Raw genomic sequence first — 14,996 nt, forward strand, 5'->3', positions numbered from 1 at the left:
TCCATCTCCCAGGTTGAAGTAATTCGCCTGCCTCAGCCACCCAAGTAGCTGGGATTACAGGCATGCGGCACCACATCCGGCTAATTTTGTATTTTTAGTAAAGACGGAGTTTCATCATGTTGCTCAGGCTGGTCTTGAACTTCTGGGCTCGAGCGATCCGCCCACCTCAGCCTGCCAAAGTGCTGGGATTATAGGCATGAGCCATTGCACCCTGGCTAGCATTTCGTAAGCCAGTACTACACTATGATCATCAGCATTTTCTCTCTGGGTACCCACTATGCAACTTTTGATACTGGAGCTTGATCTTACCAGGAGGTAAGATTAATGGAAGTTTTTGAGACAAAAGACAGGACTCACATTCCTGTCTCAAATAGGCAGGCAATGACACTAAGTCATGACTGCTATCTGGCCAACAGCAATTGTAAGACACCATTAATCCTAAAGTGAGATCAATTGTATGCTCTATCTCAATATCAGAGATGCTAAAATGTGAAAATTGATGAACTGAGACAGTTCTTATGAGGCCACCTTTTGGGTTATCCTAAAGGTGATACCCAATCTAGCCCATGAGCAACGGCCCCAGCCTTATCCACTGACAGGCATCACTTTATCACACCAGGTCAGACTGGGCCAAGTGCCTCCTGGACATTTGGAATTGGGACTAGTCTCGTGTCAAGAAAATGTCAACACTAGGCACTGTGGAATTGACCTCTGCCACCATGGGGAGGTGTGCACCCAAAGCTGGGCTGCAGGGAGAGGAGGGAGGCTGACACACAGAGAGGGGCCAAGATAAGCTATAGAGAAGGCAGGACCTCAGCCTCCCAAGGGCTTTCCAGTTCTGTGGCTGGTGCCTACCTGGAGCTGGGCTGCCCTCTGGCTCCTGCATCTGAGACAACAGGAAGCCTTACATCTCCTGCTGGGCCCAGCTATTCTGGCCTTTTTGGGCTCTCAGAACTTGGAAGCTTCCTTCTCCCCTCTCCATGAATGGCGCTTTTAAGGCTTAGGAGATCAAGTCCAGCAGCTAAGGCAGCCTCCCAAGGGCCAATGTTGCACACTCAGGCCTTTGAAGCTAGGGCAGTTTCTCCAGCAGGTCATGCCTATACCACGGGTCACTGACGTCAGGGAGGCAGCCAGCTCCCCAGGGCATGAACGATGGAGCACATATTAGCTTCCTATGGTTGCTGTAACAAATTATCACAAATGAAGTGGCTTAAAACAACACAAACGTATTATCTCACAGTTCTGGAGAATAGAGACCCAAAATGGGTCTGTAGACCTGCATTCTATCTGGAGGCTCTCAGGGAGAATCTGTTTCCCTGGCTTTTCTAGCTTCTAGAGGCTGTCCGCATTCATTGGCTTGTGGCCTCACATCACTCCAACCCCTGCTTCTGTCGTCACATTTCCTCTGATGCCGACATGCCTGCTCCCTAAGGACCCACCCAGATAATCCAGAACCAATCTCCCCACCTCAAGATTCTTAATCCCATCTGCAAAGTCTTATTTGTCATATGAATTAACAATCATGGGTTCCAGGGACTCGGAAATGGATATCTTGGGGGACCATTACTCAGCCTACTACTACCCTCAGCACAGAGACTGAAAGAGGGTTCCCCTTAATGGTATTTTTCTGTAATCAGGCCTTTTTCTTTAAGAATATTTTAAACAGCATAACAAAGCACAGCTGACTTTTTTCCCCCATTTTACAGACAGGGTCTTGTTATGTTGTTCAGGCTGGACTCAAAACTCCTGGGCTCAAGTGATCCTCACCTCAGCCTCCCAAGCAGCTGGCACTACGGACATGCACCACCACGCCCTGCTAGAGCTGGTTTTTTATACAACTCTAGGGACAATACCCATTGCCACTTATTAAATGCCTACTGTGTGCCAGGGAGAGAAGGAAAGCAACATTATCGGCCCCATTTAAGGAGGTCACTTGCCCAAGGTAGTCCAAATGGCCGGTGGCAGGCAGACGAGCTCACATCTGCCTCCCTTGACAGGCACTGATGTTGAGGTTGTATTTCTTCCCTTGGCGTCCATAACGCAGACCCTAAAGTCTTGTTTGTGTTGGAGAGCTTTGGAGCCTTAAATTTAGAGGCGCTTCACACAGCTCATGCCACCTGCAGAAGTACCAGAGAGCCTGGCATAGGCCAAAGAACTGGCAAAGCCTTCAGTCTCTCCTCACCACCTCAGGAAATTGAATCTGTTCTCCCTCCTAGTAACTCACTTAGCCAAATGACTACACTTGTTGGGCACTAACCCCATGTCCAAGGGACAACTATGAGCTGGTCCAGTGATGGAGGAGGTGGGTGGCAGCTGGGTCACACTCCTGCCACAGATTTGGTACCCAGAACAGTCATTAAGGTTTTGTCAAGGGATGGACAAGCCAGAGAGAGGAGAGATGGGCCTTCATGAGGATATCAACAAAGTCCCTACAAAAAAGTCGGAGGTAGATAAAAATATTAGGCAGGAAAGAGATGTAATGGATTCATCCCACTGAGGCATGAACAATTAATTGCCACCTGTCAATTGTCAATGGGGAGAATTCCATCCACCCAATCATTTAAAGCAAGCTGGAACCGGTTACAATGAGAATTAGCCAAGGATGAAATTTAAAGGATGCCCGGGGGCAAGTGATGTAATGGGTTGCAAAACAAACGTCAGATAAAAGGCATGGGCTCAGGGGGCCTGGTGCCAGAGCAGACGGCATCCTATAGAGACTATCTTTTACTCTGGAGAAGCTAGAGCAGTACACACAGTATTCGACATTCAGGGGTGGGGCCTGAGATTCTGTATTTCCAATGAACTCCCAGGTGATGCTGAACAGCTGCCATCTGTGGGTCATCTCGAATAGCAAGGGATGAGATGACTCTTAAGAGACAACTCAAGCTGTTCACTGCAGCAAAAATAAAACGAGTGGGGTGAATGCAGATGTCACAGGGCTGTTTGGTGCCGTGGAAAAATGAAGGTGGGGCTTATCATCAAGAAGTCCTTTACACATCCATGACTTTCTGTCCAACTCATAGGAGACTGTGAAGAAATTACCTTTTCCTTTTTAAAATGAAGAAACTGAAGTGTAAGAAGATTGAACACAGCAGGGTCAAAAACATTAGGAGTAGATACAGGTGCCCCACACCATCCTTGACCCCACACACACTTCCAGAAAACATCAAGCAAGGAGCAGGCAAAGAGCTGTCATAGGAGTGTGGTTTTTTTAATACCATCTGTGCCAAGCAATATCAAAGTTGTCCATACTCTCCAAGTTTGTCCTATTTTTAATAGACAATATTAAAAATTTTTTAAGTGTGTGCTGATAAAGAGACTAGTCACACCTCTGAGGGGATTTAAAAATGAGAAGCCACATAAATTCTCTTCCTTAAAAAACAGCCATTTCAAAAGATTTTCTTTAATATCATAAAATATTTTCATGGACAAGTGAGCTAGCAAACACACATGCACCAATGTGCCTTTTGACAAGAGTACCCCCTACCCCGACTCCCACACCAAAATGGACATGAGATTGGAGAAATGAATACAGCAGATGGAACAGATAGAAGAAAAAAAAATCAGTAAAAAGGATGGAATATAACTTTGTGCTTGGTTATTTTCCTATGTCGCAACAAAACAAGACATTTCGGTGCAAATAGTTAATCTTTCCTCTTTTTTTCCATTTGTCTGGTGGAGAAAAAATACTTTTTCTATAATAAAATATGTAGTTTTTTGGTTTTTAACGTAACTTTTTTTTCTTTTTTGCAGAAAATAATTTTGTAAACTGTCACTTCGCGGGCAGGGAGGATCGATGCCACGTGGGCCCCAGCTCACCCGGGTGGAGGCTGGGAGCTGAAACCGAACCCAGGCAGGAGATGGGCGACGGCGGAGGTGCAAGGCAGGGCACGGCGCACAAGACGAGGGCGGCCGGGCGGGGTGGATTAGAGGTCACTCTCGCCGTACAGCGCCGTGGAGAAGGACATGTAGTCCAGAGCACCTGGCACGGAGTCGGGGCCGGTGTAGGGGGCCATCCGCGCGATGCAGTACTCAGCCTGGTCGGGTGGCAGCTCGCGGCGCAGCTCGTCCATGGTAATGTAGTTCTGCGAGGAGAGAGTGGTCAGGAAGGCCGCAAAGTCCAGCAGCCGTAAAGCGGCGCGGCCCGACACAGCCGCAAAGCCTGGCGGCGTGAAGGCAGCATGTGCCGTTTGCATTTTGCCTCCCTCCTGTAACTACAGGATGTACGGACGTAAATATCCACACATGTACATACCGCATACACAACATGTATTTTTAAAATTCTCTCAGGTTTTCCACTTCAGTACCTACTTTGTAAGCCACTTTCCAATCTAATTCCATGTGCCAATTACACCTATAATCATCTTCTGAATCACACTAGTCTGCAATAATTGCGTGCTGGAGCAGTATCAGCAGATACTCTGGTGGAGCGTATAGGTTCCTGGGGAGACCCCACACGCACTCAACTGAGCTCTCTGGACGCCTCGGACAGACAGTCTAATTTTAATGAGCCCTCCAGCAGATTAAGAACACCATCCATGTTTGGGCATCACTGCTTCCCAAATATGGCCAGGCTATGTTAAGCAGCTTTGCAGAAATGCGGGCCTTGCCCCATGCAAGCAGCTCCAGCCTGGGTATCTACCTTCTCCCAGGTTTGCTCATGATAGGTCTACTTGGAAGCTGCTTCTTTTAGGAGCTTCAAGATCCAGGAGAGCTCATTTGGGGGCTCTGACCCACAAGGTAGTCGCCCTGCACCATGCCCTACCTCTGCCAGAGTGCCCTGGGAACCAGTTTGAGGGAGGGTAGAGCTGCCACTGTCAAGCCAAAAGTTGGGAGACCAGGCCCCTAGCTGGGCCCTAGTTTTCCTCCTCTACAAAATTAGCCACTACAACTAAATGGTTTGAGGATCCTTCCAGCTCCAAAGTGCTATGATGCAAATAACGTTGTTCTTGTATTTAAATCAGAACTTTAGGGACTTCTTTGTAGGTTCAGCCTTTATTCCCTTATAGACAGACATTCCAGAAATTATATTCCCTCCCTATTGGCTTTTGCTTCGCTAACTGATTCTTTAAGGTTTTTTTTAAGACGGAGTCTCACTCTGTCACCCAGGCTGGAGTGCAGTGGCACAATCTTGGCTCACTGCAACCTCCACCTCTCAGGTTCAAGCGATTTTCAGGCCTCAGCCTCCCAAGTAGCTGGAATTACAGGTGCACGCCACCACGCCCGGTTAATTTTTTGTATTTTTAGTAGAGACAAGGTTTTCCCATGTTGGCCAGACTGGTCTTGAACTCCTGACCTGATCCATCCACCTCAGCCTCCCAAAGTACTGGAATTACAGGCGTGAGCCACTGTGCCTGGCCTGAATCTTTTCAGTTTTGAAGGAAGGATGGCATAAGGATTTACTGTGACTTTTACTGAACAGAACACAGACCCTAGGCCCCCACCCCACCCCCACCATTTCTTCTGGCTGCTCTGTGAGTCTTTTCTCTAATATTCGAGGGATCTGTGGCTTCTACAGATCCCCTCAGGTCCCTGGGCTGGAGATGGCTGTGGTTCTGGGTAACATCCAGGTCTACCAATGACCATCTCAGAACAGTGGAGACTTGGACTGAGCCTCTGGCATCCATGGAGACAACCCCCTGCATCCATCCACTGCCAGGTGGAGTGTTGCAGGGTACTTGGGAGACTGGGAAACCCAGAGTAGATCACTGCTCAGGGTAGAAAACACGAGAGACATGCTTCCTTCCTGGGTCCCACAGTCCCTCTTCCTGCTCCCATTATAGTCCGTGCCGATGCGCGGGATGAGACCAAGGGTGAAGTCCCAGGGATTGTCAGATGGACTCCAAGAGTCCGATCACACATCCACACCACTCTATTCTCATCTGCCACCCGTCATTTCATCCCAGCTATGGAGTCCCTCACTGGCATGCAGTGATCCTGGAAGGGTCACTTATACTAATCCTGTGTCCTGACACCTTAGCTGAGCCCAAGACATTACAGAAATGAGTAGAAGTGGCAAACAAGGAGAGGCCAAAGGACCCTGGAAGAAGGGGCGGTTGAGGAGTTCATGTTCCAGCTCTCACCCCTTTAGATCACAGTCCAGCCAGTGCCTGCCACCCCAGCACAGTGCCCACCCATAGGACACCCACCTTGTCCCCAGCCAGGATCTTGAAGGAAGCCATGACTTGGTCTGCTGTATCTGTGTCGGCTGTCTCGCGGGACATGAAGTCAATGAAGGCCTGGAATGTCACTACCCCCAGGCGGTTGGGGTCCACAATGCTCATGATGCGGGCAAATTCTGCTTCTCCCTGGAGGGAACAGCCAAACCCAGGCCTGTCAGCCCATGGCCTGCTGGGAATATCTCATATGGACTGAAGACCCTGGGGGCTCAGAGCAGCCTATGGCTGGAAGAGAAGGGCACATCCCCCTGACCTAACCTGGGTTGTCCTAAGGGTATGATGGGGACACAACACCCAACAGGGGAGACCCAGCTCAGGGTTCCCCACACCCTGCAGATGCCTGAGTTCCTCTTAGAGCAAATAATCATGTTGATAATAACTATAATGACAACAATGATTAACAATGGCTGACACCTATGTAGCATATCAAGTATTAATCTAAAAGCTTTATTTCAATTCATTTAATCCTTACTACAACCATAAAGATAGGTATTTTATTATCTTCATTGTACAGATGAGAAATCTGAAGCCCAGACAGGCTAAGTGATTTGCCCAGGGTCACACAGCCAGGAAGCAGCAGAACTGGGATTTGAACTCAGGCAGTCTGGTTCTAGAATCTGTTCTCTCCCCACCACACTGTATTTTCTACATGCCAGATACATGCACACACTTAAATTCCTTCATTTAATCCTTGTAACAGTCCTGTAGGGTTCCCCCACTTCACCTGAGGTAACACACTAATGACGGCAGGGCTGGGATTTACTCCCAGGTTCACTGCTCCTAGCCCCATGCCCATGCCCTGCGCTGGACAGCCTGTGGGCTCTGCACTTGGCACCATGGCTCAGGAGTCACCTGACTGCTCTGCTCAGAATGTCTGTGCAAGGGGGGACAGACTAGGAAGGTTGGGGGGTGGGGGACGGCCTGGGACAATCCAGAGGGGCGGCAGGCCCAACCAGAGTCACCGCCAGGACAGAGGTGGAAGTCTCGGTTTCCATGCTCCATGTGAGGTGACGCATGCCAGCCCGAAACCTGGGATGTCCCACACCACCAGTCCTTCCTGCCAGCCTCAGGGTCAGCCCAGCTGTCCACAGTGGGAGTGAGAAGTACCAGAAGATGAAGTGGCACAGAGATTGAGGCGAGGAGGTCAGGCCTCCCGGATACACACACGCCCGTGGCCGGGCCGGCTTTCAGGGAGCCATCTTCCCCAAGGACATGGGCCCTGGGGCTCCTCCAGGGAGGGCAGCCCCTAGCCTGAGGGCCTCCAGCCTGCCACTCCTGGGACTTGGCTGCTCCCGCCAGCTGGCTGCCTTCTCACCAGGGCAGACAGAGGGTGGGGTTTACGTTACCATGTTGTAACCCATGGAGATCAGGCAGGCGCGGAAATCATCCGTGTCCATCATGCCTGTCTTCTTCTGTGGGGGGCAGTGGTACCAAGACACAAGGAGGGTCGGGAAGGCAGGAAGAGGAAGGGCCGGCCCGGGGCCAGGAAGACAGGAACAGATGGCCAGAACGGGGATGAGATTTATGGTTTTGGGGGTCAGGATAGGTAAAGGAACATAGGAGAAGATGCGAACACACATCGGTGGAAATGTCCAAAGACAGGAGGAAGACAGAGCAGGGAGATGCAAAAATCCACCCATGGGATGAAGAGCAGCGAGGACGGAAGACAGCGGGCACCCAGTAGGTTGCCATGAAAGACAGCAGAGGGCAGAGGGTGGACCAGTGATGGGGCAGACAGAGACAGCAGGAGAGGACGAGCCCCATGGCCCACAGGAGGGGGACAGGAGATCCAGACAGAGAGAAGAGAAAAAGGAAAAACGCATTATTTCTTGCCCCAGACGCCACCCCTGAGCGTGCTCCATGCAGGAGGCGAGTACCTGGGGGTCGTTGCCAATATCATAACCCAAGCTGATGAGGCAGGCTTTGAACTCCTCGGGACCCAGTGTGCCGGAGTGATCCTGGGGCCGCGGTGCGCCAGGCAGCGAGCCATGCGGTGTCAGGGAGGTGGAGCCGTGAGGGGGGCATGCCCCGGGGGAGGGTGGCGTGTGTGGGGAGACACAGGGACAGGCATGCGGAGGGAGGGTGGGGGGGCGGGGGAGGAGGGGAAATAAAAGTGCACACGGTTAGACACACCAACGAGGCTCCAGGGGGTGCCCTCCCCCCAGCACACGCAGCCCTGCTCCAGGGAGCAGGACCACAGTGGGGTGTGATGAGCCACAAGGGTGAGAAGCTCCCTCAGAAGTGACCCAGCCCCCCCGCTTCCCCAGGGGCTTCCCCCCAGGTGCCTAGAGAGCCATGAAGCAGGTGGGGTGGTGGGCAGCACCCAAGCCCATGCTCCCACGCCTTGGGACCGCCCGCAAGCCCCAGGGCACTGGGAAGGGGCAGCCCACTAAAACCCAGCCTGACCCAGAGCTGGGATGGGAACCCAGGACCAAGGCCTCTGACATCCCCAGCAGAGTCCCAGAGGCCACTGGAGGTCGGGGTAGGGGTAGGGGCCAGCGAGGGCAGGAGGAGTCTCTTCTGCTCCTCTGTCTCCACAGCCAGGGAGCAGCAAGCCTTCACTGAGGGTGACTCCTCATGGTAGGAGAGCAAGGATCAGGGGTCAAAGGTCCTCTTTCTACCCACAGTCTGAACACTCTCTCCCGGAAAGCAGGGAAGCTTATGGGGCACCAACACAGGTTTTCCAAGGCTGGTTTTGCAGGGTGCATTGAGTCAGGGCAGGCTGACGGCAGTTTCCCCTTTCTCTCCCTCCTCACTTGCATGGCAGCCCACGTCCCGGGGAAGTGCCCTCCAGGGCCCTGGGGCAGGGGTTGGGGGCTGCACTAAGAAAGCACAGGATGGGGCTCTCACCCGGTCAAAGTGGTTGAAGGAGGCCCGGAACTCATTCATCTGCTCCTGGCTGATGCCCTTGGCATCCCGGGTCAGGATCTGGTTCTCTACCTCATTGATGGTCCTGGCGATGGTGGTGAGCAGCTGCTCCCAGCCCACACGGATGTGCTGCAGGACGGCAAGGGGCCTGTCAGCAAAGGGGTCCCAGGCCTGGGCTCCTGGCGGCCCCTGCCCATCCTACTCCCCAACCATCAAAATGGCCAAAGCCATCAAACTTGGCCTTCTGTGTGGCTGAGTGTCACCAGAGGAAGGGGAACCAGGACAAGGACAACCTACTAGGACAAGGACCCTAGATGACCAAGGGGCAGGGTGGCAGCCTCTGCCTGGGAGAGCAAAGAAACCAGGACTTGCCAATGGGGGTCAGGTCAGGAAGGAGGGCAGATTTGGGGGTAGGAAAGATTGAGACAAAAAAATGTGTGATTCCCCGAACCTCCAACCCCACAGCCACGCGCGCACACACACATACACACACACACACTCTTGCACAGTTAAAACAAGTAGCCATTTTCAAAGCAGATGCCTGAGCCAGTGTTTGGAGCCCACCAGCACCCAGAACCACCAGAAGTGCTTATTCTGAACTCCACCCCAGAATTAGTGAAGCAAATTCTAGAGATGGGGCCTAGAAATGTGCATTCTCAACACATTCCTTGGGAAAGCAGAAGGTACTAAAAATTGAAGATGTGAGGCTTCAGGGGTGAAGTTAATTTATCCTCCAACTATGACCTGTTCCCTTGGAGACTTCCCCACCCAGGAGAAAGAGCAGAAGGGGCCACGGGCTCCCGAAGAGGAACAAGGCCAGCCCCACCCACCTCCATGGTGTAGTTGGTGTGCTTGTTGTCGAAGATGAGCGCCTCCTGGATGAGCTGGTGGTCGCCCTCCAGCTGATCAATCTTTGGCTTGTAGTTGACGATGCTCTTCTCATACTGCCGCAGGTGGCTGAGCTGGTCCTCCAGGGTCCCATGCATCTCAATGGAGATCCTCCCGATCTCCTGCTCACCGGGAAGGAAGCACCTTGTCAGACCACCTCACTCTGCTCCCATAGGGTGGGGACTGGGGCCTCCAAAATCACTTATTAAGCCCTCAAATGATTCTCAGTTCCCATCCCAGCCCTAAGGAGGCCATCACTGGTAATTAGTAAGACACTTTTAGCATGGGTGCTCTTAGGTATGGAAACAGCACCACAGAGGTATATAACAAGCACTGTTATCATTGGATGAAATACCTACCAACTCTCGGGTACCTGTCAGCCTCAGAAAGGGGATGCAGGGTCAGTTCTAACCTAAATATTCACTCCTCTGCTTGCCATTCAAATGCCCTTTCCCAAGTCTTGTCCATCTCAGGGACCCACTGAACCAGGATCCTCGTAGCCTCGGCAGACCTCACTCACCTCCTCAGTACCCATGCTCTTGCTCCTGCTGTTCCGCCTCCTGGGATGCCTGCCCTGGCCCACCTGAATCCCATTCATCCCTGCAGGCCAGGCCTAATGCCCATTTCTGTCTGTTATTCATCCATGTAAACAACCATTGTTTGTGAAAGCACTTTCTGTCCACTCAGTTCAATTCAGTAGATATTTCCTGCCTGTCTACTAAGGACAATGTGCTGGCAGGGGTGCAGGGGAGCGACACATACCAATGTGAACTCAACATGGTCTCTGTTCTTAAGGAACTCAGAGGCCATGCTCTAGCCAAGCAGGGCCTCTTTCCTGATCTGCTAAAGCACCCCACTATCTACCCCACACAATTCAGAAAAAAATTCTATGCTCTACTGGGGTTCAGTTCTCTTTCTGGGAAGATCAATCATTTTCTTTGGCCAGGCTCATTGCTCAGGAGGAGGAGGAGAGGAAGGGGAGGCCTGATCAACAAGAGACATCAAGGGGATTAAGCTGGATCGGGCGCTCAGGAACTGACCCTAGTATGGGACTTTCATAGGCAGCTTCTTTTTTTTTTTTTTTTTTTGACAGAGTCTTGCTCTGTTGCCCAAGCTGCAGTGCAATGGCGTAATCTCAGCTCACTGCAATCTCCGTCTCCCGGGTTCAAGCGATTCTCCTGCCTCAGGCTCCCAAGTAGCTGGGATTATAGGCACGCATCATCACACCCGGCTGATTTTTGTATTTTTAGTAGAGACGGGGTTTCACCATGTTGGCCAGGCTGGTCTCGAACTCCTGACCTCAGGTGATCCACCTGCCTCGGCCTCCCAAAGTGCTGGGATTACAGGCGTGAGCCCACAGGCAGCTTCTTAGTGGTGTCCTCATATGTCTTTGCTCCCAAATCAGATACTGCCAGCAGGGCTTCTTCACATAGGCCCCCATAGCCTTCTACAGAACAGCAGACCCACGGTGGGCTCCGGGCCTCAGTCCTCCATGGGTCCCACCCAGGGAGACAGGCAGCCTGGCTGGCTAGGATAGTGTCGGGGGGGAGGGGTGGGAGCCCCAGCACTGCTTCCCAGCATGGGACCCACCTCCATCTTGGTCTGGATCCAGGGCCCGATGACATTGGCCTGGGCTCCAAACTGCTTGCGTAGCCTCTCATTGTGCTGCTGTCGGGCATGCTCCTCCGTCAGAGCTTGGTCCCTCCGAGGCACCAGCTGCCGCACCTGGGGCAGGAACAACAAGGCGACTTTCAGGATGGGTCAGCCATCTGTCCATGTGCCAGATGAGGAAATGGAGGACCCAGAAGGGGAAGGGCCGGTCAGTAACAGAACAGGAGTAAAGGTGTCAACCTGTTCTGGAAACCCAGTCATTTGACATTTGGACAAACAATGAGTGTTTACTATATGACAATTTTAAATGAAATTGACAAAAATCAATTAAAATGGACAAAAATCCCTGCCTTTATGAAACTTACAATGGCTCGGCCCATGCCCTTCAACTCACGTGGTCCCATTTGCCATTGATCTCCTGAGGCGTGATGGTTGTGTAGGGGTTGGTGCCCGCCATATTGACGTGGTAGGTCTGGACAATCTTGGACACCTCATTGTGGATGCCCAGGATGGCCAGGCGCTCCTTGTCGGCATCAGGGAGGGTGGCCTTGAACTGCTCATGGGCTGTGGTCAGTCCCTGGACAGAGATGGGAATATGTGGGCAAGAGGAACAAAGGGAGCGCTAGAAGTGAGTGGAAGGGCCATGGAGGTTGAGTTCCACACCAGCTGGGAGACCAGGAGGCATCAATTCAAAGATTCTTGTGGCTGAGAACCAGGATGGCAGGTATGGCCACAGGAAGGTGAAGCCACAGTCATCAAAAGCAACAGCTTCATCCTTAGGGCTGGTCAAATTAGCAGCAACCTCTCTGGTGTGTTCACCACCTCACAGGTCAGGGAGAAGGGCTGCTCCAGAGGCTCACTACCCAGGTGACCTCCCACAACATGAGCTTCCTTAGCTCCTGGCAAAACCTTTTAAATCCAGTATTCTGCAACTGCATGAAAGATTGAGGAAGCTGCTAATTGATGTGAAATGAGCTCCAAATAAATGTTACATTAAAAATCAAGGTTCATGGCTGAGCACAGTGACTCATGCCTGTAATCCCAGCACTTTGGAAGGCCGAAATGGGAGGATCTCTTGAAGCCAGGAGTTCGAGACCAGCCTGAGCAACAAAGAAAAAACCCCACTTCCACAAAAATAAAAATTAAAAAATTAGCCAGGCATGGTGATGTGAGCCTGTAGTCCCAGCTACTAGGGAGGCTGCAGCAGGAGGATCGCTTAAGCCCAGGAGTTGGAGGCTGTAGTGAGCTATGATCCCACCACTGCACTCCAGCCTGGGTGACAGAGTGAGACCTTGTCTCTAAAAAAATAAAATAAATAAAAATCAAGGTTCAGAATATGGTATATAATAAAAGGTACTTTTTGTTTTATACAAAAAGGGTACAAAGCATGGAAACAAACATTTGCTTGTGTGCAGAGACTGTAGTCAAATTCTTACCTTTGGGGAGAGAACTAGGGGCTGGAGGATAAGGAGTCAGAGGGAGACCCTATCATAAACCTTTTTAATTTTTTTTAAATTTTAGATCATGCACATATATTATCTTGTCAAAATAAGTCAAATGCAAAGGTTCTGGGTCTATAAAATCCTTAGGATGCTCTTCCTCAGGGGGCAGTCCTGCAAAAGTGACCCACAGAGCATGGGCCAGGGGCCCCAGGGGAGCCAGCCTCCGGGGAGTGGAGGTGGGGCTCACCTGGATCTCCTCAATGGTGTGCACAATGAAGGTGTCCTGCAGGTCCTCCATGGCCCCCTCCATCCAGTTGTTGAAGGGTGCAGCCCGCTTGGCATACTCCAAGTACAGCTGGTCAATGGTCTCCAGCAGTTTCTCGGTCCGCTGGGAGTGCCAAATAGGGTAAGGGTTAGTACAGTGATGTCCAGAATCATCCCCCACTCCTATCAAGATCCTCCTGGTGAGCCCCAGGTCTAGAAGCACTGACTCAATCAGGCAGAAAGAACAAGCTCTTCCTGCCAGCTGTATGAACCATCTCACATCACAGTCACCTGGCCTGGGTCCCAGAGTCTGGTGTGTAGAATAGGAGGGTTCTCAAATGGCTGGGGTTGGGCTGTAAAGCACACTAAACTGGGAGGATGAGACATGTGAGGGCAAGAGAGGAGGCATCGCCATGAGGGCAAAGTCCAAATCCTGTGCCAAAGTGAATCTTCCACATTTAGGCCAGGGTTGGGGGAGGTCTGGGGAAGCCATAGAGTCTTTTAGCCCAAAGCAAAGAGAGTCAAGAAGCAGGAAGGGGCACCACAGGGCTGCCGGATATGGGCCTAGATCTCCCTCTGGGACCTCTCACCTCCAGAGCTTCCCTTCGCTTCTGAGTTAGGGCCCCCAGATTGTCCCACTGGTCACAGATCTTTTGGCAACGGGCGTTGACACTGGGTGAGTCATAATAGTCCAGCTCACTGGGGAGGGAAGAGACAAGGAAGTCAGGGGACCCAGGTTAATTTCATGGCCCATCTCCCTCTCTCTGAGGCTGTCAGTGGGGTGGCTGGTGGTGCTGGGAAGAGCCAGGGGCGCTCCCTTCAAGAGACCTTCCAGGCACTCCTTCCACCCCTCCCCTCTTTCAGGAGACTGGCAGAGAGGAGACCAAAGAAGACCCCTTTCCCAGTCATGGCTGGAGGTGACACCAGCCTTCACCTCAATGGCCAATGGCAGGGAGCCCTCGAGGCCCAACGAGAAAGCTCAGAACCAAGTCTTGGTCACCCTCTGCTCCTGTACTAGCTACAGGCGAGAACTGGTGGCCTTTAACAGGATGGCAGTGGTCCCGGGCTCCTTCCCCACCAGGAGAGATATTTGTCTCCTGCGTTGACTCCCTCCCCACCTGGGCACCCACCTGTACCCACCCTCCCCATCTTCCACGGCCACACCCCCACCTCCCCCAGCAGCTGAGAAAGCCCAGCCTCAGCCCCTCACCACAGGGTAGGGGTGTCTGGGGCCACCTACTTGAGCTCCTGTGCGATGGCGGCAATCTGCTCCACACGGTCCTGGTGGGCAGCCAGGTCACTCTCGAAGGCCTCATGCTTCTTGAGCAGGGCCTTGATCTCCGAGAGGGTGGCGGTCTCATAGTCCTTCTGTCGCAGCATGGCCTCTTTGCCTGGGTTGAGAGAGGGCCACATGGCTGAGCTGGAGTGAGAAGCATCTCCTTGGTCCCAACCGCCCACCCCTCAGGGCCCCAGGAGCTCCACTTCTGGGGGTGCTTCTCAAGGAGGTGCCCATTGTGCAGGGATCTGCAGGGTGCAAAAGCAGATGTGCAACTAGAACATCCACCAACCGGCGCAACGGGGAAAAGCACTCTCCTCAGAGCACTTCCAAGGCCATGAAAGTGTCTACGCAGGAAGGCTATGCAGGAGTCTGTGGGAATGCATAGGGCATGACGCTATACACACAGCGGGAAACACAGCCATCCACACCCTCTGGTATAACCAGGAAAAAAACAACCCAAGCACC

General features: G+C 52.2%; 1 protein-coding gene across 24 annotated transcripts in view; it reads right to left on the reverse strand.

Moving 5' to 3' along the window:
- Positions 3,196-14,996, reverse strand: part of ACTN1 (actinin alpha 1) — a 105,175-nt gene continuing 93,374 nt past the window's right edge. For 9 of the 24 annotated variants that reach the window (NM_001102.4, NM_001424030.1, NM_001424013.1 and 6 more), the window contains 10 exons: positions 14,493-14,643; positions 13,843-13,951; positions 13,236-13,376; positions 11,941-12,123; positions 11,526-11,660; positions 9,878-10,057; positions 9,030-9,176; positions 8,057-8,137; positions 6,150-6,308; positions 3,196-4,085 (listed from right to left, as the gene is read on the reverse strand). In NM_001102.4, the coding sequence (NP_001093.1) occupies positions 3,927-4,085; positions 6,150-6,308; positions 8,057-8,137; positions 9,030-9,176; positions 9,878-10,057; positions 11,526-11,660; positions 11,941-12,123; positions 13,236-13,376; positions 13,843-13,951; positions 14,493-14,643 (1,445 nt within the window). In that variant the 3' untranslated portion in view covers positions 3,196-3,926. Of the gene's footprint in view, positions 4,215-6,149; positions 6,309-7,525; positions 7,592-8,056; positions 8,138-9,029; positions 9,177-9,877; positions 10,058-11,525; positions 11,661-11,940; positions 12,124-13,235; positions 13,377-13,842; positions 13,952-14,492; positions 14,668-14,996 lie in introns of all 24 variants that reach the window. The other 15 variants (NM_001130005.2, NM_001424022.1, NM_001424028.1 and 12 more) reach the window with 12 other exon arrangements.

This window comes from Homo sapiens, chromosome 14 (assembly GCF_000001405.40).
Source record: "Homo sapiens chromosome 14, GRCh38.p14 Primary Assembly".
Taxonomy (NCBI): Eukaryota; Metazoa; Chordata; class Mammalia; order Primates; family Hominidae; genus Homo; species Homo sapiens.